The following is a 25,892-nucleotide window of genomic DNA, read 5'->3' as shown; positions in this document are numbered from 1 at the left end:
AAGCCCCAGTTGCTACTGGCAAATGGATTAATACTGAATTTTTGGTATTTGCAGACATTAAGGTACAGCTATAAATGTTTATGGGCTGAGAAAAGGAAAAATATATGAAAGGAAATAATTTTTTTTTTTTTTTTTTGAGACTGAGTTTTGCTCTTGTTGCCCAGGCTAGAGTGCAGTGGTGCAACCTCCACCTCCCGGGTACAAGCGATTCTCCTGCCTCAGCCTCCAAGTACTGGGATTACAGGCATGTGCCACCACCCCCGGCTAATTTTTATATTTTTAGCAGAGACGGGGTTTCACCGTGTTGGCCAGGCTGGTTTCGAACTCCCGACCTCAGCTGATCCGCCCGCCTTGGCCTCCCAAAGTGCTGGGATTACAGGCGTGAGCCACTGTGCCTGGCCGGAAACCTGGCCTGAGTTCTGGAGTTCAAGACCAGCCTGGTCAACATGGTGAAACCCCGTCTCTACTAAAAATACAAAAATTAGCCGGGGGTGGTGGCACGCACCTGTATTCCCAGCTACTTGAGAGGCTGAGGCAGGAGAATCGCTTGAACCTGGGAGGCAGAAGTTGCAGTGAGCCAAGATCATCTGCACTCCAGCTTGGGCAACAGAGTGAGACTCTTGTCTCAAAAAAAAAAAAAAAGTTGTTTTCATTGAGAAAAATATTTTACTGATGGTATAGGTTGAATACTTGGCATAGCTAGTTTTTTGTTTGTTTGTTTTGAGATGGAGTCTTGCTCTGCTGCCCAGGCTGGAGTGCAGTGGCGCGATCTCAGCTCACTGCAAGCTCTGTCTCCTGGGTTCATACCATTCTCCTGCCTCAGCCTCCCGAGTAGCTGGGACTGCAGGTGCCCGTCACCACACCTGGCTAATGTTTTCGTATTTTTAATAGAGACGGGGTTTTACCGTGTTAGCCAGGATGGTCTCGATCTCCTGACCTTGTGATCTGCCCGCCTCGGCCTCCCAAAGTGCTGGGATTACAGGCATGAGCCACCACACCTGGCCGTACTTTTTTTTATTATTTTAAAATTATTTTATTTTATTTTATTTTGAGATGGAGTTTCACTCTTGTTGCCCAGGCTGGAGTGCAGTGGTGCGATCTTGGCTCAGTGCAACCTCCACCTTCCAGTTTCAAGCGATTCTCCTGCCTCAGCCTCCTGAGTAGCTGGGATTACAGGCGCCCGCCACCGTGCAGGATAATTTTTGTATTTTTAGTAGAGACAGCGTTTCACCATGTTGGCTGGGCTGGTCTTGGAACTCCTGACCTCATGATCCACCCACCTTGGCTTCCCAAGGTGCTGGGATTACAGGCGTGAGCCACCATGCCTAGCCTGTGTTTGTGTTTTTTAAATAACAGCTTTATTGGTACATAATTCACATACAATAACATTCATTTTTTCAAAATGTACAATTCATTGGTTCTTAGTATATTCACAAATTGTGCAACCATCACTACTATCTAGTTTTATATTTTCATCCCAAAAAGAAATCTTGTACCCATTTTTCAGTCACTCCCGCTCTCTCCTTCCTCCCAGCTCCTACCAACGACTAATCTACTTTATCTCTCCGTGGATTTGCCTGTTTTGGACATTTTATAAAAACAGAATCATATAATATGTGAACATTTTGTATCTGGCTTCTTTCACTTGGCTTAATGTTTCCAAGCTTCATCCATGTTTAGCATTCATTTGAATCCTTTTTATGGTCAAATAATATTCCAGTGTATGGGTATACCACATTTTGTTTAGGCATTCATCAGTTTGAGTTGTTTCCACTTTTTGGCTATTATGAATAATACCATAAATATTTCCAAGTTTTTACATAAACATCTATTTTTTTTCTTTCCTTTTGTTTTTTTTTGTGAGACGGAGTCTTGCTCTGTCGCCCAGGCTGCAGTGCAGTGGTGTGATCTTGGCTCACTGCAAGCTCCACCTCCCGGGTTCACACCTGTCTCCTGCCTCAGCCTCTTGAGTAGCTGGGACTACAGGCGCCCACCACCATGCCCGGCTAATTTTTTGTATTATTAGTAGAGACAGGGTTTCACTGTGTTAGCCAGGATGGTCTCGATCTCCTGACCTCGTGATCCGCCCACCTTGGCTTCCCAAAGTGCTGGGATTACAGGCGTGAGCCACCGCGCCCCGCCGCCGGTTTTTGTTTTTTTTTAAATAGTGATGTGGTCTCGTCAAGTTGCTTAGGCTCATCTCTTAACTCCTACCCTCAAGTGATCCTTTTGCCTCAGCCTCCTAAAGTCTTGGGATTATAAGTGTGAGCCACGGGGCTCAGCCCATTGAAACTTTTACTGCCTTATCTTTTTTATTTTGAAGCATTTTAGAGTAGTGGTTTAAAGCTTAAGCTTTGGAGTCACACAGGCCAGGGTTAAATCCTGACTCTAGTATTTATTAGTTCAGCAGACTTGGGACAAATTATTATTTTATTTATTTATTTATTCATTTATTTTGAGACGGAGTCTTGCTCTGTCGCCCAGGCTGGAGTGCAGTGGGGCAATCTCGGCTCACTGCAAGCTCGGCCTCCCAGGTTCATGGCATTCTCCTGCCTCAGCCTCCCAAGTAGCTGGGATTATAGGCATGTGCCACCATGCCCGGCTAATATTTGTATTTTTAGTAGAGACGGGGTTTCACCATGTTGGCCAGGCTGGTCGTGAACTCCAGACCTCAGGTGATCCATCCGCCTTGGCCTCCCAAAGTGCTGGATTACAGGTGTGAGCCACCACGCCCATCTGGGACAAATTATTTAACCTCTCTGACCCTCTTTTTCCTAATCTGTAAAGTGAAGAGTAGTACCTATATCACAAAGATGGTATGACAATTGAGAATGTGTAAAGTCCATACTATAATGAGTAATAATAAGTACCAATAAATGATAATGGAAATGTTTTTTCCCTAGTGCAGTGACTTTTCATTTAGTTTTATGGAAGTCCTGGTAGGTTTCATGAGGCCCTCAGAGTAGTATCTTTCAAACTTTTCTGACCATGAACCCACACTAAGAAATACCTTTTACAAGGTGACTCAGTTCTTACCTAAATACTCAGACACGTATCTATACGTGTCAAAATGTCAGGAGAAAACACCCTATGTTACTCTTCTCTTACCCTGCTATAAAGAACTACCGGAGACTGGGTAATTTATAAAGGAAAGAGATTTAATGTACTCACAGTTCTGCGTGCCTGGGAGACCTCAGGAACTTACAATCATGGCGGAAGGCACCTCTTCACAGGCTGACAGGAGAGAGAACGAATGCCAGCAGGGGAAATTCCAGATGCTTATAAAACCATCAGATCTCGTGAGACTCACGCATTATCACGAGAACAAAATGGGAGAAACCGCCCCATGATCCAATTATGTCCACCTGGTTCTCCCCTTGACACATGGGTATTACAATTCAAGATGAGCTTTTGGGTGGGGCACAGCCAAACCATATCTTACCCTTTCCATGGGCAGTGTACTGTCTTATTTTTTATAGAAGTTTTAGATATACAGAAAGATGGAGCAGAAAGTACGGTGGGGACGTGAAAGTACAGTGGGGACTCTCTTCTGGATTTGTGCTTTTTTTTTTTAACATTGCTGAATAACTGAATAATATTCCAGCAGTATTATGTACCACAGTTTGTTTATCCATTCATCTACTGAAGGACATCTTGGTTGCTTCCAAGTTTTGGCAATTATGAACAAAGCTGCCATAAACATTCACATGCAGGTTTTTGTCTGGACACATTTTCAACTCCTTTGGGTAAAGACCAAGTGGTGGGATTGCTGGATCACATGGTAAAAGTATGCTTAGTTTTTTAAGAAGCCACCAAACTGTCTTCCAACATGGCTGTACCATTTTGTATTCCCAACTGCAAGTTCCTTTTGCTCCGCATCCTCACCAGTGTTAGGTGTTGTCGATGCTTTGGATTTGGGCCATTCTAGTAGGTGTGTAGTAGTATTTCACTGTTGTTTTATTAATAATTTGCAATTCCCAAATGACCTATGATACGGAACATGTTTTTCATATGTTTATTTTTCCATTTGTATGTCATCTTTGGTGAAGTATCTGTTCAGATCATTTGCCCATTAAAAATTAGGTTGTTTTGGCCAGGTGCGGTGGCTCACGCGTGTAATCCTAGCACCTTGGCTGAGGCAGGGGGATCATTTGAGGTCAGGAGTTCGAGACCAGCCTGGCCAACATGGTGAAACACCATCTCTACTAATGATACAAAAATTGGCTGGGCCTGATGGCAGGCACCCCAATCCCCGCTACTCAGGAAGCTGAGTCACGAGAATCGCTCGAACCCAGGAGGCAGAGGTTGCAGTGAGCTGAGCTTGTGCCACGGCACTCCAGACTGGGCGACAGAGTGAAACTGTGTCTCAAAAACACAGAAACAGCCACACGCGGTGGCTCACGCCTGTAATCCCAGCACTTTGGGAGGCCGAGGTGGGCGGATCACAATGTAAGGAGTTCGAGACCAGCCTGGCCAATATGGTGAAACCCCATCTCTACTAAAAATATACAAAAATTAGCTGAGTGTGGGGGCAGGCACCTGTAGTCCCAGCTACTCGGGAGGCTGAGGCGGGAGAATCGCTTGAACCCAGGAGGCAGAGGTCACAGTGAGCTGAGATTGCGCCACTGCATTCCAGCCTGGGTGACAGAGACTGTCTAGAAAAAAAAAAAAAAAAAAACCACACACAGAAACAAAAACATTAGCTTGTTTTATGATTATTGAGGTTTTTTTTTTTTTTTTTTTTTTGAGGGGGAGTCTGGCTCTGTCGCCCAGGGTGGAGTGTAGTGGCTCAATCTCAGCTCACCGCAAGCTCCGCCTCCCAGGTTCACGCCATTCTCCCACCTCAGCCTCCCAAGTAGCTGGGACTATAGGCGCCCACCACCACACCCGGCTAATGCTGTTTTTGTATTTTTAGTAGAGACGGGGTTTCACCATGTTAGCCAGGATGATCTTGATCTCCTGACCTCATGATCTGCCAGCCTTGGCCTCCCAAAGTGCTGGGATTACAGGTGTGAGCCACTGCGCCCGGCCTGGGTGACAGAGCGAGACTCCATCTCAAAAAAGAAAAAAGAGTTATTTGTGTATTTAGGATACAAGTCCTTTATGTATTTATTTATTTAGTGACGGTCTCACTCTTGTGCCCAGGCTGGAGTGCAGTGGCACAGTCATAGCTCACTGCAGCCTCGACCTTCTGGGCTCAAGCAATCCTCCTACCTCAGCCTCCCAAGAAGCTGGGACTACAGGCCTGCACTACTACACCTGGCTACTTTTTGTGTTTTTTGTAGAGATGGGGTCTCCCTATGTTGTTCAGACTGTTCTCGAACTCTTGGGCTCAAGTGATCCACCCATCTTAGCCTCCCAAAATGCTGGGATTACAGACATCCCGAAGTGCTGGGATTATAGGTGTGAACCACCACACCTGGCCAAGTCCTTTATCAAATATGTACTTTGCAGATATTTTCTCCCAGTCTGTGGCTTGTCTTTTCATTCTCTTAATAACTGTTATATATTGTTCTGTTCTAGTTCATTAAAAAACAAAACTGGTCCTGAGGCACTAATTGATTTTAGAGCCCACTAAGAGGTCATAGTCTGTGGTTTAAAATTCAGTGTTTGTTCTGCTTCCATAATATTCACGTGATCAACATTAGTAAAGCAACCATTATTTCAAGCAGTAATTTTCTTTGTCTTTTTTTTTTTTTTTTTTTTTTTTTGAGGAGGAGTCTCACGCTGTCCTCTAGGCTGGAGTGCAGTGTGGCATAATCTCAGCTTACTGCAACCTCTGCCTCCCGGGTTTAAGCAATTCTCCTGCTTCAGCCTCCTGAGTTAGGTGGAATTACAGGCACGCACTGCCATGCCCGGCTAATTTTTTTTTTTTTTTTAGTAGAGACGGGGCTTCACCATGTTGCCCAGGCTGGTCTTGAACTCCTGACCTCAAGTGATCCACCGGGCTCAGCTTCCCAAAGTGCTGGGATTACAAGCACGAGCCACCACACCTAGCCTCAAGCAGTCACTTTCAATTTTTTTTTTTCTTTTTTGAGATGGAGTCTCGCTCTGTCATCCAGGCTGGAGTGCAGTGGTGCGATCTCGGCTCACTGCAAGCGCCACCTCCCGGGTCACGCCATACTCCTGCCTCAGCCTCCCGAGTAGCTGGGACTACAGGCGCCCACCACCACGCCCAGCTAATGTTTTGTATTTTTAGTAGAGACGAGTTTCACTGTGTTAGCCAGGATGGTCTTAATCTCCTGACCTCATGATCCGCCTGCCTTGGCCTCCCAAAGTGCTGGGATTACAGGCATGAGCCACCACGCCCAGCCAAAGTAATTTTCAATATTGATGAACAGTGGTGTCAGAATTGATACTGTTCTTTATTCTAGAGTATTATTTTCTAATTTTAATTTTTTATTATTTTTGAGAGGAAGTCTCACTCTGTCACTTGGCTCACTGCAACCTCTGCCTCCTGGGTTCAAACGATTCTCCTGTCTCAGCCTCCTGAGTAGCCGGGATTATAGGCATGTGCCACCACGTCGGGCTAATTTTTGTATTTTTGGTAGAGATGGGGTTTCACCATGTTGGCCAGGCTGGTTTCGAACTTCAGACCTCATGATCCACCTGCCTCAGCCTCCGAAAGTGCTGGGATTAAAGGCATGAGCCTCCACGCCTGGCCTTTTTAAAATTTTGAGACAGCTGGGCGCGGTGGCTCACACTTGTAATTCCAGCACTTTGGGAGGCCAAGGCGGGCAGATCACAAGGTCAAGAGATCAAGACCATCTGGCCAACATGGTGAAACCCCGTCTCTACTAAAAATACAAAAATTAGCCAGGCATGGTGGCGCATGCCTCTAGTCCCAGCTACTAGGGAGGCTGAGGCAGGAGAATCACTTGAACCCGGGAGGCAGAGGTTGCAGTGAGCCGAGATCGTGCCACTGCACTCCAGCCTGGGCGACAGAGCGAGACTCTGTCTCAAAAATAATAATAATAATTTTGAGACAAGAGTTTCACTTTGTCACCCAGGCTGGAGTGCAGTGGTTTGATCATAGCTCACTGCAGCCTTGACCTCCTGGGCTCAAGTGATCCTCCCTGCCTCAGCCCCCCACGTGTCTGGGACTACTGGCATATACTACCATGCCTGGCTAATTTTTTGTGCTTTTTGTAGAGATAGGGTTTCGCCATGTTGCCCAGGCTGATCTCGAGCTCCTGAGCTCGAGCAGCCTGCCCACCTCAACCTCCCAAAGTGCTGGCATACAGGTGTGAGCCGCCACACCCAACCTATTCTAGAGTATTCTTTAAGTTTTAGTGGATAGAATAAATGTGGTCAGCTGTATCACCTCTATATCCTGTAGTCATGACACATCTTGGTATTATGGAAAGCTGTATGAATTTCACATTTCTACAAGGTTTAAGATAGGTTCTCTCAAAATGCGTTATGCTTTTAAATACTGAAGGGACTATATACTAAGTAAATAATGCAAATAGAAGCTAAGGTGTCTATTTTGTATTCCCAGGAATACTGTATAATGTAATTTAAAATGTGAAATTATTAACGCAAGTAAAACAGTGATTAGAACTCAACAGAATTGATAAGGTTATTGAGATCTATTGTAGTGGCTATTTAACTTTGAGTAGATGCTACTCAGATATTTAAATATGTCTAGGCTGAGCATGGTGGCTCATGCCTGTAATCCCAGCACTTTGGGAGGCCAAGGCGGGAGGATAATTGAGCCCAGGAGTTAGAGACCAGCCTGGGCATAGACCCCATCTCTACAAAAAATAAAAAAAATTAGCTGTGGTGCGCTTTTACAGTCTCAGCTACTTGAAAGTTGAGGCGAGGGAGGATCACTTGAGCCTAGGAGTTCGAGGGTGCAGTGAGCTAGGATTGGTGCTGCTGCGCTCAGCCTGGGCAGCAGAGCAAGATCCTGTCTCTAAAAAAAAGAAACATTAAAAAAAATGGGTGTATAGCTGTCTCTGCCTTCGTAAGAGGGTTAAATATGTACTTCTACAGTCTTATTTATTTAGAAAAAAATTTTCATTGCTCTAAGGTTAATTTTATTCCTTTTCCAAAATAATACAAGCCCTAATTATGGAAATTGAACTTAATATGATCTTACTAAACTGTACCTTTATTTTCCTTGGAGTTAATTCTTCATCCCTAAAATTTGTGTCAGGGGAAGGGGGTAGTGCTGAACTCACCCCCGTTACCCTGCAGTGCCACCTTGTGGAAAGAAGCTTTAGCTCAAGCTTGTCCAACCCATGGCACCGGGCCACAGGAGGCCCAGGACAGCTTTGAATGCAGCCCAACACAAATTAGTAAACTTTCTTAAAACATCATGATATATATATGTTTTTTAATGATCTTTTTTTCTAACTCATTGGCTATCATTAGTGTTAGTGTATTTTATGTGTAGCCCAAGACAATTCTCCAGTGTGGCCCAGGGAAGCCCAAAGTTGGGACACCCCTGCTTTAGAGCAAGGGACATCCATTGTTTCTCTAGGTTTGAGTGAAATCTGCCGAATACCACATAGTTATGTTCAAGGCTCCTGACTTTCACACTAATTTTTTTTTTTTTTTTGAGATAGAGTCACTGTCGCCCGGGCTGGCGTGCAGTGGCGTGATCTTGGCTCACTGCAACCTCTGCCTCCTGGGTTCAAGGGATTCCACTGTCTCAGCCTCTGAGTAGCTGGGATTATAGGCAGGTGCCACCACGCCCAGCTAATTTTTTTTTGTATTTTTAGTAGAGATGGGGTTTCGCCATGTTGGCCAGGCTGGTCTCGAACTCCTGACCTCAAATGATCTGTCTACCTTGGTCTCCCAAAGTGCTGGGATTATAGGCATGAGCCACTGTGCCCAGCCTTACACTAACTTTTTTTAAGAATATTTTTCTTCTCTTTGATGTGGACTAATTCAGTGATTAGAGGGGTAAAATATTGTCTTTTCTACAGAGAACTTGAAGATGAGAAAACAGGCAAACACCTACCTGTCATGATTCAAGAAACCTACTATAAAAAGACATTTCGTGGCCAGGTGTGGTGCCTCACGCCTATAATCCCAGCACTTTGGGAGGCCAAGGTGGATGGATCACACGGTCAGGAGATCGAGACCATCCTGGCTAACATGGTGAAACCCCGTCTCTTCTAAAAATACAAAAAATTAGCCGGGCGTGGTGGCAGGCACTTTTTGTCCTAGCTACTTGGGAGGCTGAGGCAGGAGAATGGCGTGAACCCGGAAGGCAGAGCTTGCAGTGAGCCGAGATCGCGCCACTGCAGTCCAGCCTGGGCAACAGCGTGATACTCTGTCTCAAAAAAAAGGGACATTTTACGTATAATTGGGGGAGTTTATTGAGTGCTTCTTACGTGCCAGGCACTGCTTCAGGCACTACTGACACAGCAGGTAATTAACTGAAACTCTGCTCTCAAGAAGCTTATGTGTTCTAGTGACAACAGACAGAGGATAAACAAATATATACATAGATCAGGTGGTGGTTGAGTGCTAAGCAGAAATACATAAACCAGGGTAGGAGGACAGAGGGATGGAGTAGTGCTATTTTAGGTAGACTCTCGGTTAAGGAAAGCTTCCTTGCTAAGACACCATTCCAGCAGAGGCCTGAAAGAAGAGGGTAATACAATGTCAGTAGCTGAGTGAAGCGGTCTATGCAGAGAATAGCAAGTGCAAAGCCCCTGAGGCAGGAGTTGGCTTGCCCTGTTGAGGGAGGCAGAAGGGATGAAGAGTGTGGTAAGCACTGAGATCAGAGAGGTATGCATGTGTGTGTTGCAGGTCTTGCAGGGCCTCTTAGACAATAGTTAGGACTTTGAAATTTATTCTCAGAGAGGAAACCACGGGAAGGTTTTGAATGAAGTGATGTATCTGAAGGGTGAGAGTGGAAACAGATGAATGAGTTTGCTCTTGCAGACATCCTTTCTGAGAGGTGGTGGTGGCTCGGGCTTGGGTAGTAGCCAGGGAGACGAGTTATCAGTTTCTGGGTACGAGGTTGACAGTCTTGCTAATGGATTGTTTGTGGAGTATGAGAGAGAAGGGAGTTGAGCCAATCCTTTATTTTATTCTCCTTTTTCTGTGTGGATGACAGCAACTCCCAGGTGTGTTTTTCAGTCTTTGAGAGGCTAATTGAGGAAAGTGAGATGAAGCATTTAGGGTGATGGCTTAGACTTAGTTTTCCTTACAGCTCTAATGTTTCTGAGATTTTAAATTGGTGAACTGAGTTGCAATCAGGGCCAGAAGGGACCTTAGCATCAATTCTCATTTTGGGGTGCGTGGCCTGCTGGAAAGCTAAAGGGGTCTTCCTGGTGTTCACCCACCCTCACCCCAACTGATCCTTTCTGTGGCTTTTATGAGCTATTTACTCATAACCTACCAAGTGAGTTATTGCAAGTTACTAAAATTTAGTATAGCTTTTATCACCTTATTTCTCTTCAGTTATTTTTTGTTATCCCTGAGCTCCTTTTCCACCAGAAAGAAGTAGTAGATGGTATAGGTGAGCTGGGGGATCTAATACTTTACCTGATTGGGTTGGGCCAGAAAAGCCTGAGAGCCATTTTCCTGCAAATATGTGTTTCATATTATCTGCTGAGTTCTTGCCAAGAAACCAAGACCCAGAGATAGACTAAGGAGCAGCTTCCCCAGCCAGTTGCAGCAGTCAATGCCATAGCTAAGGATAGAACTTGGGCTTCCTATTCCAGGGTTCTTTGTACCATGTAAGTCAAGTTTCTGAATTCCTTTTCTAGAAGTTTTATATATCCTACTTTTTAAAAACAGCTTCATTGTGTTATAATTTATGTGCCGTAAAGTTTACCTATTTTAAGTGAACATTCAGTGATCTTTAGTAAATTTACATAGTTGTACAGCCATCACCACAATCTAATTTTAGAACATTACTGTCATACCAAAACAAAGTTTGTGCCTATTTGCCATCACTCCTCATTCCCATCCCCAGTCCTAGGCAACCACACATCTTTCTTTCTCTATGGATTTGACTGTTTTGGGCATTTCATATAAATGGAATCATATAACATGTGGTCTTTTGTGTCTGGCCTCTTTCACTTAGCTTAGTATTTTCAAAGTTCATCCATGTTGTAGCATGTGTCAATACTTTGTTACTTTTATTGCTGAATAATATTCCATTGTATGATATTCCATAATTATCTGTTAATGGAGATTTTGGTTTTGTCTTGTCTTTCCTTTTCTCTCTCCTTCCTTCCTTCCTTCCTTCTTTCCTTCCTTTTTTTTGAGACAGCATCTCGCTCTGTCACTCAAGCTGGAGTGCAGTGGCATGATCACAGTTCACTGCAGCTTTGACCTCCTGAGCTCAAGCAATCCTCACACCTAGGCTTCCTGAGTAGCTGGGACTATAGACGTGTGCCACCATGCCCAGCTACTTTTTGAATTTTTTGTAGAGGCGGGGTTTTGTTATGTTTCCCAGGCTGGTCTTGAACTCTTGAGCTCAAGTAATCTGCCACCGTTGGCCTCCCAAAGTTCTAGGATTACAGGCATGAGCCACCGTTCCTGGCCTTGTTTCTTCTTTTTGGCTACTATGAACAGTGCAGCTATGAACATTTGCATACAAGACTTTGCGTGGACATATATTTTTATTTCCCCAGGGTAGGTACCTAGGAGTGGAATTGCTGGGGGCCATATGGCAAATCTGTGTTTAAAATTTTTTAGGCCGGGCATAGTGGCTCACGCCTGTAATCCCAGCACTTTGAGAGGCCGAGGTGGGCAGATCACGTGAGCTCAGGAGTTCGAGACCAGCCTGGCCAATATGGTGAAACCCCATCTCTACTGAAAATAAAAAAATTAGCCAGGCGTGATAGCGTGCGCCTATAATCCCAGCTACTTGGGAGGCTGAAGCAGGAGAATCACTTGAACCTGGGAGGCGGAGGTTGCAGTGAGCTGAGATTGAGCCACTGCACTCCAGCTGGACTGTTATGCAAAATAGCTGTACCATTTTACATCTTCATCACCAATATATGAAGGTTTCAGTTTCTCCACATCCTTGTCAATGCTTGTGATTGTCTGTCTCTTTGATTATAGGATAATTCCTGTTTAGATTTTTTTTTTTCCTTAGAGATGGGATCTCACTCTATCACCCAGGCTGTAGTATAGTGGTGTGATCATAGCTCACTGCAGCACTGAACTCCTGGGCTTATGTGATCCTCTACCTCAGTGTCCCGAGTAGGTGGGACTACAGACACATACCATGATGCCCAGCTAGTTGTTTATTCATTTATTTAGTTTTTAGTAGAGATGGGGTCTCACCATGTTGCCCACGTTGGTCTCAAATTCCTGGGCCTAAGCGATCCTCCTGCCTCTGCCTCCCTCAGTGTTGAGATTACAGGCTTGAGTCACCATGCCCAGCTAATTCCTGTTTTTTAATAGCTTATACATCCTCAATTTGTGTTTTGCTTTGGTTTCCTTGGATTGCCAAGAAAATAGTTTAAATACCAAGTTTGTAAAAATGTTAAAATATCTGTGTGGTTTACTTAAATTAGTGATTATTTGATTTCAGTTGATTTTCTTAGTTCAGATGTTCCTGAAAGCAAGGGTAAGATGACGTCTTAAGCTACTTAATAATGGTTGTCAGTTTTCTGCCTGCCTCATCCTGCATTTCTTGAGCACCACTGTGTGTCCAGGCACTGAGCTGGAGAACACAAGTATTGTCCTTATGGTCTAGTATGATATTTTCCAACTTTTTTGAATGAAAAAAAAAATGGAGCAAGTTAAGACACACTTAGATGATTTCAAGACCAGGTAATGAGTCACAGATACTGTTCCAGTAGAGGATGTAGTCAAGAAAACTATTGATAATTTAATGTAAGAAAGTTGTACTATAAATAGCCACAGTCTGTTACAGCAGGGGAGAAGAGGAGGCTTTATCTGAGGTTGGGTCAAGATGGGCAGACATTGGTTCCAGTCTTTCTCAGGTCAGGTCAGGATGGGTAGAGAGTACTGTCAGTGAGCAGAAAGGGGCAGGATTTGTTGTGTGATTCATCAGGGCAGAGAAGCAGTTTGAGGAAAGGCATAAGTAGGGCATCTTGTCATTACATGCTATATTTGTTACAGCACACAATTAGAAATTTTTGTTTTCCTAACTGTAGCTAACCAAATCTTTTATTTATTTGTTTATTAATTAATTATTTATTTATTTATTTATTTTTGAGACGGAGTCTCGCTCTGTTGCCCAGGCTGGAGTGCAGTGGTGCTATCTCGGCTCCCTGCAAGCTCCACCTCCCGGGTTCACAGCATTCTCCTGCCTCAGCCTCCCGAGTAGCTGGGACTACAGGTGCCCACCACCATGTCCGGCTAATTTTTTGTATTTTTAATAGAGATGGGGTTTCACTGTGTTAGCCAGGATGGTCTTGATCTCCTGTCCTAGTGATCCGCCTGCCTTGGCCTCCCAAAGTGCTGGGATTACAGGTGTGAGCCACCGCACCCGGCCCCAAATCTTTTATTTTTAACATATTAATCATTTAGGAAGGATAAACGTATTAACTTGTTTTCTTTTTTCATTTAGTTTCCTTAATCCTACTGAATTTCATCTGTTTTGTACATACTATTAAAGAAAAAAATATGCTACCCATTAAATTGTGTCATGCCATCGTGAGGTGTACTATGATTTCAAAGATGTTATTAAAATACAAGCAAGTGCATCTAGAATCAATACACTATATTTGTTTTGGAGCTTCTTTAGTCATGTTTAAGCTGAAGAAATCTTACTAGAATAACATTAGCAGTCACACGGCTTTTCAGCTTCAGTTTTCGGTGATGCTTTAGGGTCATCCAGGTCAAAACCAGCTTAATTTCTCTAGAAAGCTTTAAAGTCTGCCATGATTATAATGAAATTAGCTTGAATAATAGAGATTAGGGAAAATGAATTTTGCTAAAATTAGGAAAGACAGGGTTATTGCGAGTGATAAAATGGAACACAAGAAATTGAAATAATGTTTAGTGACTTTTGGATAAGTTATTTGGGTGTTCTTCGCTTTTAAAAATATCCAGATTTACAACCTGTCATCGTGCCTCTCCCCCTCCCTCATCATATTGAACTTACTCATGAGCTGAAGAGTCTTGGTAATTCAGAAGGTACCCCAAAATGCTGCCATACCATCCTTCATTCTGACAATGCATTCATAAAGAATTCCGCGTTTCAGAGCAAGTAAGCACAAGCTGTGCCTCTGTGAGTGCCTAAGGGTACTGCTTTACGCGTGCTATATTCATGAGGCAATGATTGTGCAAATGTTTTGCTAGCTCAGAGCGTTGAGAGCAAACCGTGGGATGCCTTAGTGGGTAGAAGGGTAAGGAACAAGGAAGAAAAACCGATTCCGAAGTACTGAGTGAAACAGGGCATTCTGCTTGTTGCTAGTGAACTGTAGGAATAGCATATAAGGGAAGGTAGTAAAAAAAAATTTTTTTACTCATTTGAAACTTCAATTTATAAAGCATGATTTGGGAAAATTTATTATTAGATCTTTTTGTTGTTGTTGTTGTTTTTGAGACAGAGTCTCACTCTTTTGCCCAGGCCTGACTGCAGTGGTGCTATCTTGGCTCACTGCAAGCTCCGCCTCCCGGGTTCACGCCATTGTCCTGCCTCAGCCTCCCGATATTACTAGATCTTTAAGAGCATAGATTGTGAAGTCACATTGGAAAATATTTACCATTACAACTGTAGAATAAATGTGTATAAGTAAGAATAAAACTATATTCCAGTTGTTTCTGATGAAACTGTTAAAGTATTAGTCTTGGCCTTGGTTTGAGCTGGATCCAGTGATTACCTGTTTTATTCCAAATTCTGTAGATTCCAGGCTACTTATTTCAGTATACAAAAATCCCCAGTTTTTATAAATTCTTCTTACAGGTTAGTGAGCAGAGGTAACTGTTACTTAATTTTTAAAAAATTTATTGTAAAATAGAAATGTGCTCAGGGAAGAGGGATGATGCTTGTTTATTGAACAGACTGGATATATCTTACTTCAATTGTGTGTGTATATATTTTTTCTCAACTTAGGGCATGGTGGGGGTTCTATATTTGTGTGTCATTCATGGAGTTGACCAGATTTTAGTGTGCCTCCTATGCGTCAGGTCCTGACTCAGCAATGGGAAATTAAAGACTCAAAAGTGAAGTGCTTGGAAGAGTGCAGAGTCTATAAAGGGAGGGAGTCATTGAGGTGATGCAATAGAGATCTGTGTGAAGAGCCACTGGATCGTAAAGGAAGGAGCATGTGGCCTCCCTGGTGAGCGGAGGCGGTAAAGGGATGTTTTTGCAAAAATGGTAGTTAGGAGCTGAGTTTTGAATTGTGAATAGGAATTTACAGGCAAACAGGAAGGGTACTTGGGCAGAGGGACGGCTGCCAGAGAGAACTCCATTGATGCTGATGGAGGGAGGTTTAGTGCTTGGAGAGACTTAGAACCTGGAAGGTTTTCTCAGAGTATATTTTATAGAAATCCAAGCCTCATGAGATTCCCTGGAGGGAAAAAAGAAATATATATGATCATTACATTAGACTCTTAAGGAGTGCTCAGTTAAGAAACCTATCTCCTGCTTATATACCAGCGAAGGTGTTTTGGGAAGGGCTGGTGTTGGGCAGTGGGGAGCTCTTAAATATTTTAAGCAAGGGAATAACTTTATTTGACTTTTAGAAAATGAAATGGTAGGCCAGACGTGTTGGCTCACATCTGTAATCCCAGCACTTTGGGAGGCCGAGGTGGGTAGATCACCTGAGGTCGGGAGTTTGAGAGCAGCCTGATCAATGTGGAGAAACACCATCTCTACTAAAAATACAGAATTAGCTGGGTGTGTTGGTGCATGCTTGTAATCCCAGCTACTCGGGAGGCTGAGGCAGGAGAATCGCTTGAACCCAGGAGGCGGAGGTTGCAGTGAGCCGAGTTCATGCCATTGCATTCCAACCTGGGCAACAAGAGCGAAACTCCGTCTCAAAAAAAGAAGAAGAAAAAAAATGAAATGGTAACGGTGAGGAGTTAGAGTCGGGGGAGATTAGTGGCAAGGAAACCAGTTCAAAGCTGTTATCAATTTTGGTTACATAAAATCTGACCATAGATGTAAAGATGCTTAATTTCAGAATGTAGGAATTTAGGGCACTTGTAAGAAAAAAAAATCTTTTTTTTTGTTTTTTGTTTTTTTTGTTTTTTTGAGACAGTCTTGCTGTGTTGCCCAGGCTGGAGTGAAATGGTGCAATCTTGGCTCATTGCAACCTCTGCCCCCCGGGGTTCAAGTGATTCTCATGCCTCAGCCTCCTGAGTAGCTGGGACTAGAGGCGCGGGCCACCACGCCTGGCTAATTTTTTGTATTTTTAGTAGAGACAGTGTTTTGCCATGTTGGCCAGGCTGGTCTCAAACTCCTGATCTCAAGTAGTCCGCCCACCTTGGCCTCCCAGAGTGCTGGGATTACAGGCGTAAGCCACTGTGCCTGGATGAAAAAAAAATCTTAACAACAAACTAAAATCATATGCTTACTCGAATGCAGAGATTTTAAGGTCTGGCTCTGTTGCCCAGGCTAGAGTGCAGTGGCGTGATTGTAAGCTGCACTGCAGCTTCAAATTCCTGGGATCAAGTGATCCTCCCACCTCAGCCTCCAGCTGAGACCACTGTCATGAGCCACCATTTCTGGCCTGTTTCTGACCTTTTGTCAAAGATTAGACATAAATGTTTTATAATACCTTCTGATTAAAGAAAATCTTTGGTTTAAATTTTACTTTATTCCTTTATTTTTATTTATTTATTTATTTATTTTTGAGATAGAGTCTTGCTCTGTCACCCAGGCTGGAGTGCAGTGGTGCGATCTTGGCTCACTGCAACCTCATGCCTCCCGGGTTCAAGTGATCCTCCTGCCTCAGCCTCCTGAGTAGCTGGGACTGCAGGTGCGTGCCACCGCGCCTGGCTAATTTTTGTATTTCTTTTGTATCAGAGTTGGGGTTTCACCAAGTTGGCCAGGCTGGTCTTGAACTCCTGACCTCAGGTGATCCACCCACCTTGGCCTCCCAAATCTGGGATTATAGATGTGAGCCACCATGCCTAGCCTAATTTTTACTTTAGGTGTATTGTTTTTAAAGTATCTCTTTCATTGTTCCACTGAGGAAAAGGGGAAAAAAAAATTTCCTTCCAATATGATGTCTTAAGATGCTAGATCAAAGTGTTAGTATTTTTTTGAAATTAAAAAAAAAAAAAACAAAAAACCCGGCACAGTGGCTCACGCCTATAATCCCAGCACTTTGGGAGGCCAAGGCAGGCGGATTACTTGAGGTCAGGAGTTCCAGATCAGCCTGGTCAATGTGGCGAAACCCTGTGTCTACTAAAAATACAAAATAAGGCTGGGCGCAATGGCTGACGCCTGTAATCCCAGCATTTTGGGAGGCCAAGGCGGGCGGATCATGAGGTCAGGAGTTCAAGACCAGCCTGGCTAACACGGTGAAACCCCGTCTCTACTGAAAATACAAAAAATTAGCCGGGCGTAGTGACGTGCGCCTGTAGTCCCAGCTACTCGGGAGGCTGAGGCAGGAGAATGGCGTGAACCCAAGAGGCAGAGCTTGCAGAGAGCCGAGATTGCGCCACTGCACTCCAGCCTGCGTGACAGAGCGAGACTCCATCTCAAAAAAATAAATAAATAAAATAAAATAAAATTAGCTGGGCGTGGTGATATGCGCCTGTAATCCCAGCTACTCAGAAGGCCAAGGCAGGAAAATTGCTTGAACTGGGGAGGCAGAGGTTGCAGTGAACCAAGATCGCGACATTGCATTCCAGCCTGGGCGACAGAGTGGGACTCTGTCTCAAGAAAAACAAACAAACAAACAAAAAAACACCAGGTGTAGTGGCTCACATTTGTAATCCCAGCACTTTGGGAGGCCAAGGCGAGAGGATTGCTTGAACTCAGGAGTTTGAGACCAGCCTGGGCAGCATGGCAATACCCTGTCTCTACAGAAAATACAAAAATTAACTGGACGTGGTGGCACATGCCTGTAGTCCCAGCTACTTGGGAGGATCTCTGGAGTCTAGGAGGCAGAAGTTGCAGTGAGCTGAGATCACGCCACTGCACTCCAGCCTGGGTGACGGAGTGAGACCCTGTCTCAAAAAAATAAAATAAAGTAAGGCTAGACGATTTTTATTTTTTCAAATACACTATAATGTATTTTTATGTTTAAGGGTCATTTATTTTTCTTTTACTGTGATATATTAATACACTTTCCTGGCTAATTTCTTTAAAGGAATTGGATTTTTGGTCTTTCTGTTATCATTTTTTAGGAGCGCTTTATGTATTGAGGGGATTAGCTTTGTATTTGTAATATGAGTTGCAAATGTTTTCCCCTACCTTGTTTTTCTGGATTATAAGAGATTCTTGGCCGGGTGTGGTGGCTCACACCTGTAATCCCAGCACTTTGGGAGGCCGAGACGGGTGGATCACGAGGTCGGGAGATCGAGACCATCCTGGCTAACACGGTGAAACCCCGTATCTACTAAAAAATATAAAAAATTAGCCGGGCGTGGTGGCGGGCGCCTGTAGTCCCAGCTACTCTGGAGGCTGAGGCAAGAGAATGGCATGAACCCGGGAGGCAGAGCTTGCAGTGAGCCGAGATCGCGCCACTGCACTCCAGCCTGGGCGACAGAGCAAGACTCCATCTCAAAAAAAAAAAAAAAAAGAGATTATTATATTTAATGTACTTGAATATCAGTCTTTTTAAAAATAGTGTCTGATTTTTGAGTCATAGTTTGAAACAGCACCTTTATTCCAAAGCTATAAAAGGGAATATACCCAGGTTTTATTCTGGACTTTTTATGGCTTTAGGGTTTGTATCTAAATATTTGATCTATTAGGAACTTCTGCTAGTGTACGATATATGGTATGAAACCATTTTTTCCACATGGATATATTTTGCTCAAACATCACTCATTGTATAGTCGTTTTCCCTCCTTGATTTTTGAGATACCTCCCTCATCATTTGCCATTTTTTTCATAGGTAATTGGGTCTATTTCTGGGGTATGACTTTGCCCCATTGATCTATATATATATCTACTGCTGTCATGTTGTTTTGAGCACTTTATAAGATAGTGCTCTTTCTTTTCTATTACTCTCCTCATTTGGAATTTTCCTGACTTGTCTTTTTCATCTTTCTACATGAACTTTAGAATCAGCTTATCTATTATTATTTCCAGAAAATAATTCTGTAGGCATTTTGGGGGCGGGGGGTGGGTAGAGGGATCACTTTAAATTTACAGATTAATCTGTTTGTGATAAGGAATCTAAATTACAGCTTTACTCTTTTGTCTTACAGATGATATTAACTGTTTTCTTGAGCAACAATGAACAGATTTTAACAGAAGTTCCTATAACACCGGAAACAACCTGTCGAGATGTTGTAGAATTTTGCAAGGAACCTGGAGAAGGCAGCTGCCATTTAGCTGAAGTGTGGAGGGGAAATGGTATGTATTAGGTCCTGTAAAGATTGTTACATTGATAAAATCAAATCACCATCTTTTAGCTAAGCTTGTGCTGGATTTGCTTTTTTTCTGATAAAGATGGGGAAAAAAAGTAACTAAGTACATATAATTTAGTATTTATCAAATGGAAAATATTGCTTGTAGTTCTTAGTTATCTGTGGTAATAAAGAACTGAGTAATTAAAATAAATGTAATTATATTGCACAGGACTGAGTTTTACAAAATGCTTTTTTGTATACTTTTTTTTTTTTTTTTGAGACAGTATCTCACTCTGTCTCCCAGGCCAGAGTGATAGATGTTTGGGCTGTCTCTCTTTTTTTTTTTTTTGGCTATTATGAATAATGCTCCTATGAACTTTCATGTACAAACTGTTTTTGTTTTTGTTTTTTGTTTTCTGACATGGAGTCTTGGTCTCTCCCACAGGCTGGAGTGCAGTGGCATGCTCTTGGTTCACTGCAACCTCCGCCTCCTGGGTTCAAACGATTCTTGTGCCTCCGCCTCCCAGTAGCTGGGGCTATAGGCGCGCACCACCACGCCTGGCTAATTTTTTGTATTTTTAGTAGAATCGGGGTTTCACCATGTTGCCCAGGCTGGTCTTGAACTCCTGAGCTCAGGCAATCCACCCACCATGGCCTCCCAAAGTGCTTGGATTACAGGCATGAGCCACCGCACCTGACAATGTACAAGTTTTTGTGTGGACATATATTTTCATATCTCTTAGTAGTATAAACCTAGGAATCTCTGGGTCATATGGTAATTCGTGTTTAACCTTTTCAAGAACCACCAGACTGTTTTCTAATGCAATTGCTTCATTTTACATTCCCTGCAGCAGTATACGAAGTATACGATGTGGAGAATTTCTGCACATTCTCATCAACACTTGATACTGTCTGCTTGAGTTTAGCCATCCTAGTAGTTGTGAAGATATGTCTTATTGTGATTGTGATTTGCATTTCCCTAATGACTAATGATGGTGAAAATCTTTTCATGTGTATATTGGCCATTTTTATATCTTCTCTGGAGAAATGTCTATTCAGTTCCTTTGCCTATTTATTTATTTATTTATTTTTGAGACAGTGTCTTTCTCTGTTGCCCAGGCTGGAGAACAGTGGCACAATCCTGGCTCACTGCAACCTCTATCTTCTGGGCTCAAGCAGTGCTCCCACCTCAGCCTCTCGTGTAGCTGGGACTACAGGCATGCACCACCATGCCCGGCTAATTTTTGTAGAAACAGGGTTTTGCCATGTTGCCCAGGGTGGTCTCAAACTCCTGGGCTCAAGTGATCCACCTGCCTGGGCCTCCCAAAGTGCTGGGATTACAGGTGTGAACCACTGCACCCCACCCCATTGCCCATTTTAAAAATGGGTTATTTGTCTTTTTGTTACTGAATTGTAAAAGTTCTTTATGTATTCTAGATACAAGTCCCTTGTGGGTATATAAATTACAATTTTTTTGCAAGGTCTTGTGCTTTTTACTTAGAATTCAGAGTAAAGAATTTTAAGGATACATGGAGAGAAACTTGACTTTGATAAACATTGGACTATTACTAAATTAGAAGTAAAAGGACAGGCCCTCAATTGTTAGCCTAATGACAGCTACAGGAAGCAGGCAGTTAAGTAATTGTAATTAACGTTTTTAAGGGGAGCAGTGTTAGAGCCTGATCATTCATTCCCTTGTTTTTTTTCTTCTCTAGCCTCTTAGCACTTTTGTTCTCTGTTACTTGTTATCAATTCTAATTCCTCATCTGCCTTCCCATTGTAAGGGAATAAAATTTTTACACGAGTATTATAGCCCTAAATGGTCTATGGCCTCTTGAGAATGCTTGTCTCTCTCATACGAGTCACTCGGTTGGTGCCATCCTTGTCTCCCAGCCCATCTCAAATCATAACTTAGTTTTACCTCCTCAAGGATGAGGACTACCACCCTGGAGCACAGAGTCACAGCACAGTACATTTACCGTGGCTTTTGTACATGCTCCTTCGTTGTCTAGAACAATCCCTAGGAGCTTGGCTAACATCTATTTATTCTTTGCCTCTCATCCCTTCCGTGAATCTCAAAGGGTGTTAGTGTCCCTGTGCTCTAATACTGTCGTTGTATTTATCAAAACATGATACAGGTCGGGCACGGTGGCTCTTGCCTCTAATCCCAGCCCTTTAGGAGGCCAAGGCGGGTGGATCACTTGAAGCCAGGAGTTGGAGACCAGCCTGGCCAGCACGTCAAAACCCCATCTCTACTAAAAATACAAAAATTAGCCAGGCATGGTGGCACACGCCTATAGTCCCAGCTTCTTGGGAGGCAGGAGAATCCCTTGAAACCCGGAGGCGGAGGTTGCAGTGAGCCAAGAGTGTGCCACTGCACTCCAGCCTGGGCGACAGAGCGAGACTGTCTCAAAAAAAAACAAACAAACATAATGTAGTAGTAGTTTTTATCTCTATCTTGTTGGACTAAAATTCCTGAAGGCGGGAACTTGTCTGTTGTTCACCATTATATCCCCAGTGTCCAGCCTAGTGTTCATAGAAGGCACTTAGTAAACACAGATTAGTAAGTAAAATGGCCAACGAAGCTGGATCTAGGAAGAAGAGAAGGTAACTTCCAGTGGATGCCATCAAAGGGAGAGGGCAAGCACTGTAACAGCCTTTCTCAGTCCTTTTACCTAGAGGAACCCTTACAGAGATTTTTTTTTTTTTAGGTTTCAGAGAACCCTCACATAAAACTTACTGCACCTGGCCGGGCACTGTGGCTCACTCTTGTAATCTCAACACTTTGGGAGGCCGAGGTGGGTGGATCACCTGAGGTCAGGAGTTTGAGACCAGCCTGGCCAACATGGTGAAACCCTGTCTCTACTAAAAAAACAAAAAATTAGCTGGGCATGGTGGTGGGCACCTGTAATCCCTGCTACTCGGGAGGCTGAGGCAGGAGAATCGCTTGAACCTGGGAGGCGGAGGTTGCAGTGAGCCGAGATTGTGCCACTGCACTCCAGCCTGGGCAACAAGAGTGAAACTTCATCTCAAAAAAAAAAAAAAACAAAAAACAAATTACTGCCCCCATAACTGCTGACATTAGTATGATCAGTATGTCGTAGATAGAATCCTTCAATAGTAATTATCAGTGCTTTCCAGTAGAGCCGTTTCACTGTGGATCTGTGCATTATTTTGCTGAGGCTGCCGTAACAAAGTGCCACAGACTGGGTGGCTTAAACAACAGTAATTTATTTTCTCACAGTGATGGAGGCCAGAAGTCTGAGATGAAGGTGTCAGCAGGCTTGGTTTATTCTGAAGACTCTCTCTCTCTTTGACTTGTAGATGGTTTTCTTTTCTTCCCTCCATGCCTGTCTGTGGACAAACCTCCCCCTCTTGTAAGGACACTAGTCATATTGGATTAGGGGCCACTTTGATCTCTTCATTTTATCTTCTTGCCTCTTTAAAAGTCCTGTCTCCAAATACAGTTAAATTTCGAGGTACTTGAGGTCAGGACTACAACAGATGAATTTAGCGGGGACACAGTTCAGCCTGTAACAGTCTGTTAATTTGGCCAGGTCATTAGCTACTCTGTGTGGTTCCCTTCCCCACACAGGTGTCAGTTCTAATGGCAGTCAGTAAGGTAGATAAAACCTTCCATTTTTATCTTTTGTTAAGTTTCCTACTTGAGGTTTTTTAACCTTATTTAAAGTTCCTAAAAGTCTTATAATAGATTTCCATTATACAAGATGCTAATTAGGTATATTTTATATTACATGATATGTATAGGGTAGTTAGTCCATTTTCATACTGCTATAAAGAACTGCCAGAGATGGAATGATTTATAAAGGAAAAAGGTTTAATTTACTCACAGTTCTGCAAGGCTGGGGAGGCCTCAGGAAACTTACAATCATGACAGAAGGTGAAGGGAAAGCAAGGCAGCTCCTCCACAAGGTGGCAGGAAGGAGAAATGTCAAGTGAAGGGGGAAGAGCCCCTTCTAAAACCATCAGTTTTCATGAGAACTCACTCACTATCATGAGAAACCACCTCCATGATTCAGTGACCTCCATCTGGTCTCTCCCTTGACATGTGGGGATTATGGGGATTACAATTCAAGATGAGATTTGGGTGGGGACATAAAACCTAACCAGATCAGTAGTGTTTTTTCCTTTTCTTTCCTTTTCTTTCCTTTCCTCACTTCTCTTCCCTTTTCTTCCCTTCTCTCCCTTCTCTTCCCTTCCCCTCCTTTCCCTCCCCTCCCCTCCCCTCCCATTGCCTTCCCTCCCCTTCCCTCCCCTCCCCTTCCTTCCCTTCCCCTTTTCTATGACAGAGTCTCGCCCTGTCGCCCAAGCTGGAGTGCAGTGGCGCATTCTCAGTTGACTGCAACCTCTGCCTCCCAGGTTCCAGTGATTCTCCTGCCTCAGCCTCCCTGAGTAGCTGGGACTACAGGCATGCGCCACCATGCCCGGCTAATTTTTTGCATTTTTTAGTAGAGACGAGGTTTCACCATATTGGCCAGGCTGGTCTCGAACTCCTGACCTCGTGATCCACCTGCCTCGGCCTCCCAAAGTGCTGGGATTACAGGCATGAGCCACTGCACCCAGCCTCTTTTTCTTTTTTTTGAGACAGAGTCTTGCTCAGTTGCCCAGGTTGGAGTGAAGTGGTATGATCATAGCTCACTGCAGCCTTAAACTCCTGGGCTCAAGGGATCCTTCCATCTCAGCCTCACAAGTAGCTGGGAGCACAGGCAAACTGCACAGTGCCCAGACAATCCTTTTATTTATTTATTTTTTGTAGAGACAGGGTCTTGTCATGTTGATCGGGTTGTGTTTTTTCTACTTTAAAACGAAAATTATGTTCAGTTAAACTTCCTTAAAAAAATATAGCGAAGCTTTCTTGAAATTAATCTTCTCAAAATTTTGCCAGGTGCAGTAGCTCACACCTGTAATCCCAGCACTTGAGGCCAAGGCTGGCAGATTGCTTGAGCCCAGAACTTCGAGACCAACCTTGGCAATGTGGCCAAACCCCATCTCTACAAAAAATACAAAAATTAGCTGGGCGTGGTGGCACATGCCTGTAGTCCCAGCTACTAGAGAGGTTGAGGTGGGACGATCGCTTGATCACACCACTGCACTTCAGTGCTCCAGCCTGGGTGACAGAGGACAGAGTGCGACCCTGTCTTTAAAAAAATATACACACACACACACACACACACACACACACACGATGAATAGAGGGAAACAATAAATTTCTGTTAAATAACTGGCTTAAGACAAAATGGGTTTTAATTTTTATTAGGTTATGTTCAGACTTGGTATATTTAAATATAGGTTGTAAATTGATTTTAATAAATGTAAAAGTTTAAAAGTTGATTTTAATGTAAAAAAATGAAAATTTACTGACAATGTTGATTAGTAAAACAACTAAAAATAAAGCTACTAAATGATAAGCCTAAGCAATGTGAATAAAAATGTGGCCTAAGACACAATTTTATGCAAAACTGAGAAACATGATTTAGCTAAATATAGGCCTTGCAGTTAGAAAAGGCCAATACACTTGCTTTTAAAAATCTTTTTATAGGCATATGTGTATATAAAAAAATGCTACTTTCAAAACTAAAAATATGGAATGAAATTTACTTCTATATATATATTTTGTTTGTTTGTTTGTTTTGAGATGGAGTCTTGCTCTGTCCCAGGCTGGAGTGCCCTGGCAGGATCTCGGCTCACTACAACCTCCACCTCGTGGGTTCAAGCTATTCTCCACCTCAGCCTCCCGAGTAGCTGGGATTATAGGCGTGTGCCACCACGCCTGGCTAAGTTTTGTATTTTTAGTAGAGACGGGATTTCACCATGTTGGCCAGGCTGGTCTCGAATTCCTGACCCCATGATCTGCCCGCCTTGGCCTCCCAAAGTGCTGGGATTATAGGCGTGAGCCACTGCTCCCGGCTGAAATTTACTTCTTTAATGTTTAACTTGTCATTGTTTTTTGCTCTACAGATACTTAGTTCTGATATGAACTTGAGCTAAGCACAGACAGATTTCATTTTCAACTAAGATGAGACCGTTTCTGTTTTTGCCTTTGATGTTTGTTAAATAAGACAAAGCTAGAGCCAGGCGTGATTGTTTGCGCCTGTAGTCCCAGCTACAGTAGGCTGAGGCAGGAGGATCCCTTGAGCCCGGAAGTTCAAGGCTACAGTGAGCTATGATCATATCACTGCACTTTAGCCTGGGTGGCAGAGTGAGACCCCATCTCTTAAAAAAAAAAAAAGAAGAAAAAAGTCAGCAGCATAATGTGCATTATATTTCTATGAATGGCAGGATTTTCTTTATGCAAATCTAGAACTTACCTAGGAATGGAACAGTAAATTACAATCACTTATACCTTGAATCTGTGCTTAGATTGTGTAGCTCACAAAGTTTTATCTCTTGTCTTGACATCAAATTCTTTGGTTGCACTGAAGATTTAGAGTTATAAATCT

At 43.3% G+C, this 25,892-nt stretch overlaps 1 protein-coding gene and 1 non-coding gene across 13 annotated transcripts in view, besides 3 other annotated features; both read left to right on the top strand.

Annotated features, from left to right (window-relative positions):
- The window catches only part of PPP1R13B (protein phosphatase 1 regulatory subunit 13B), a 115,620-nt gene that overhangs the window by 32,009 nt on the left and 57,719 nt on the right, over positions 1-25,892 (top strand). For all 12 annotated transcript variants that reach the window (XR_007063997.1, XR_001750206.3, XR_001750205.3 and 9 more), the window contains exon 2: positions 19,288-19,435. Coding sequence is in view for 8 of the 12 variants with exons in the window: in XM_005267487.6 (XP_005267544.1) it covers positions 19,288-19,435 (148 nt within the window). In the remaining 4 variants the exon portion in view is untranslated. The remainder of the gene's footprint in view (positions 1-19,287; positions 19,436-25,892) is intronic.
- Positions 9,814-9,913: an enhancer, noted in NCBI's record as "active region_9111". NCBI's record gives its function as "activates an Ori minimal core promoter by ATAC-STARR-seq in GM12878 lymphoblastoid cells {active_cell/tissue: GM12878}" and the evidence as "EXISTENCE:reporter gene assay evidence [ECO:0000049][PMID:35858748]".
- Positions 19,458-19,534, top strand: LOC124900347 (small nucleolar RNA SNORD51). Its single transcript, XR_007064401.1, has one exon. It is a non-coding gene; the product is annotated as a small nucleolar RNA SNORD51 (small nucleolar RNA).
- Positions 21,157-21,656: an enhancer, noted in NCBI's record as "H3K27ac hESC enhancer chr14:104261487-104261986 (GRCh37/hg19 assembly coordinates)". NCBI's record gives its function as "activates a minimal SCP1, AML or CMV promoter by ChIP-STARR-seq in primed H9 embryonic stem cells {active_cell/tissue: H9 hESC(primed)}" and the evidence as "EXISTENCE:reporter gene assay evidence [ECO:0000049][PMID:30033119]".
- Positions 21,657-22,158: an enhancer, noted in NCBI's record as "H3K27ac hESC enhancer chr14:104260985-104261486 (GRCh37/hg19 assembly coordinates)". NCBI's record gives its function as "activates a minimal SCP1, AML or CMV promoter by ChIP-STARR-seq in primed H9 embryonic stem cells {active_cell/tissue: H9 hESC(primed)}" and the evidence as "EXISTENCE:reporter gene assay evidence [ECO:0000049][PMID:30033119]".

Source organism: Homo sapiens, chromosome 14 (genome assembly GCF_000001405.40).
Source record: "Homo sapiens chromosome 14, GRCh38.p14 Primary Assembly".
NCBI classification, from domain to species: Eukaryota; Metazoa; Chordata; class Mammalia; order Primates; family Hominidae; genus Homo; species Homo sapiens.
Note: the sequence above shows the minus strand (reverse complement) of the source record. Positions and strands in the feature narration are given on the sequence as shown.